Genomic DNA, 2441 nt, shown 5'->3' with positions numbered 1-2441 from the left:
GCTGGGGCCAGCAGGGACCACGTGGCGAGGCTGCGGGAGGGGTGAGGGGTGACCTGGTGCATTGGGGCCAGCAGGGACCACGTGGCGAGGCTGCGGGAGGGGTGAGGGGTGACCTGGTGCATTGGGGCCAGCAGGGACCACGTGGCGAGGCTGCGGGAGGGGTGAGGGGTGACCTGGTGCATTGGGGCCAGCAGGGACCACGTGGCGAGGCTGCGGGAGGGGTGAGGGGTGACCTGGTGCATTGGGGCCAGCAGGGACCACGTGGCGAGGCTGCGGGAGAGGTGAGGGGTGACCTGGTGCATTGGGGCCAGCAGGGACCACGTGGCGAGGCTGCGGGAGGGGTGAGGGGTGACCTGGTGCATTGGGGCCAGCAGGGACCACGTGGCGAGGCTGCGGGAGAGGTGAGGGGTGACCTGATATGCTGGGGCCATCAGGGACCACGTGGTGAGGCTGCAGGAGAGTGAAGGTGACCTGGTGCATTAGGGCCAGCAGGGGCCACATGGTGAGGCTGAGGGAGAGGTGAGGGGTGACCTGGTGCGCTGGGGCCAGCAGGGGACACGTGGTAAGGCTGAGGGAGGGGTGAGGGTGACTTGGGTGTGTTAGGACCAGCAGGGGCCCCGTGATGAGACTGCAGGAGGAGTGAAGGTGACCTGGTGCATTAGGGCCAGCAGGGGCCACATGGTGAGGCTGAGGGAGGGCTGGGATGAAGCTGAGGCTGCTGGGTCCAAGTTAGGCAAGCCTGGGCCTAGGGAGTTAGATTCACTCCAGACTCAGTGGGATATCTCATGGCGTTTAGCAACTATCTGGTAGCCTTCTGCTTCCCTGGCTGACTCCCGTGCAGGGGGTAAGTTCTGGGAGGACAACACCGTATTCCTCCTGCTACTTTGGTTCTCTTAGTTCAGTGCCTGGCATGTTCAAATAAACTGAGTTGGTGCATAGGTTCTGGGATGGGGAAATGGGTGAGGGTGTGTAGGGATGGATGTGTGTATTTTGGGATAGGGGAAGGGGTGTACATGTTTGAGATGGAGTAAGGGTGGGTGTGTTTGGGATGGGGAAGGTGTGTGTGTGTTTGGGATGGGGAAGGGGTGTGTGTGTTTGGGATGGGGAAGGGGTGGTTGTGTTTGGGATGGGGAATGGGTGTGTGTGTTTGGGATGGGGAATGGGTGTGTGTGTTTGGGATGGGGAAGGGGTGTGTGTGTTTGGGATGGGGAAGGGGTGGGTGTTCAGAGTTGTGGAAGGGGTGGATGTGTCTGGGATGGGAAATGGGTGTGTGTGTTTGGGATGGGAAGGGGTGTGTGTTTGGAATTGGGGAAGGGTTGTGTGTGTCTGGGATGGGGAACGGGTGGGTGTGTCTGGGATGGGGAATGGGTGTGTGTTTGGGATGGAAAGGGGTGTGTGTGTTTGGGATGGGGAAGGGGTGTGTGTGTTGGCGATGGGGAAGGGGTGTATGTGTTTGGGATGGGGAAGGGGTATATGTGTTTGGGATGCGGAGGTAGTGTGTGTGTTTGGGATGGGAAGGGGTGTGTGTGTTTGGGATGCAGAATGAGTGTGTGTCTTTGGGATGGGAAGGGGTATGTGTGTTTGGGATGGGGAAGGGGTGTGTGTGTGTGGAATTAGGGAAGGGGTTTGTGTATTTGGGATGGGAAAGGGGTGTGTGTTTGGGGATGGGAAGGGGTGGGGGTGTTTGGGATGGGGAAGGGGTGTGTGTTTTTGGAATTGGGGAAGGGATGTGTGTGTTTGAGATGGGAAGGGGTGTGTGTATTTGGGATGTGGAAGGTGTGTGTGTGTTTGTGATGGGAAGGGGTGTGTGTGTTTGGAATTGGAGAAGGGGTGTGTGTGTTTACAATTGGGGAAGGGGTGTGTGTGTTTGGGATGGGGAAGGGGTGCGTGTGTTTGTGATGGGGAATGGGTGTGTTTGTGTTTGGGATGAGAAGGGGTGTGTGTGTTTCTCATGTGGAAGGGGTGTGTGTGTTTGGGATGGGGAAGGGGTGTGTGTGTTTGGAATTGGGGATGGGGTGTGTGTTTGGGATGGGGAAGGGGTGTGGGTGTTTGGCATGCAGGAAAGGGTGGGTGTGTTTGGGATGGGGAAGGGGTGTTTGTGTTTGGGATGGGGAAGAGGTGTGTGTGTTTAGAATTGGGGAAGGGTTGTGTGTGTTTGGCATGGGGAAGGGGTGTGTGTGTTTGGGAAGTGGAAGGTGTGTGTGCATGGGATAGGGAAAGGGTGTGTGTGTTTGTGATGGGGAAGGGGTGTGTGTGTTTGCGAAGGCAAGGTGTGTGTGTGTTTAGGATGGGCAATGGGTGTGTGTGTTTGGGATGGGAAAGGGGTGTGTGTGTTTGGGATGGGGAAGGGGTGTGTGTGTTTGGGATGGGGAAGGGGTGTGTGTGTTTGGGATGGGGAAGGGGTGTGTCTCTTTGGGATGGGGAAGGGGTGTGTCTCTTTG

The 2441-nt window shown here is 57.8% G+C and overlaps 1 annotated feature.

Moving 5' to 3' along the window:
* Positions 217 to 730: an enhancer, noted in NCBI's record as "H3K27ac-H3K4me1 hESC enhancer chr20:16240179-16240692 (GRCh37/hg19 assembly coordinates)". NCBI's record gives its function as "activates a minimal SCP1, AML or CMV promoter by ChIP-STARR-seq in primed H9 embryonic stem cells {active_cell/tissue: H9 hESC(primed)}" and the evidence as "EXISTENCE:reporter gene assay evidence [ECO:0000049][PMID:30033119]".

Source organism: Homo sapiens, chromosome 20 (assembly GCF_000001405.40).
Source record: "Homo sapiens chromosome 20, GRCh38.p14 Primary Assembly".
NCBI classification, from domain to species: domain Eukaryota; kingdom Metazoa; phylum Chordata; class Mammalia; order Primates; family Hominidae; genus Homo; species Homo sapiens.
This window is presented reverse-complemented; position numbering and strand designations above follow the sequence as displayed.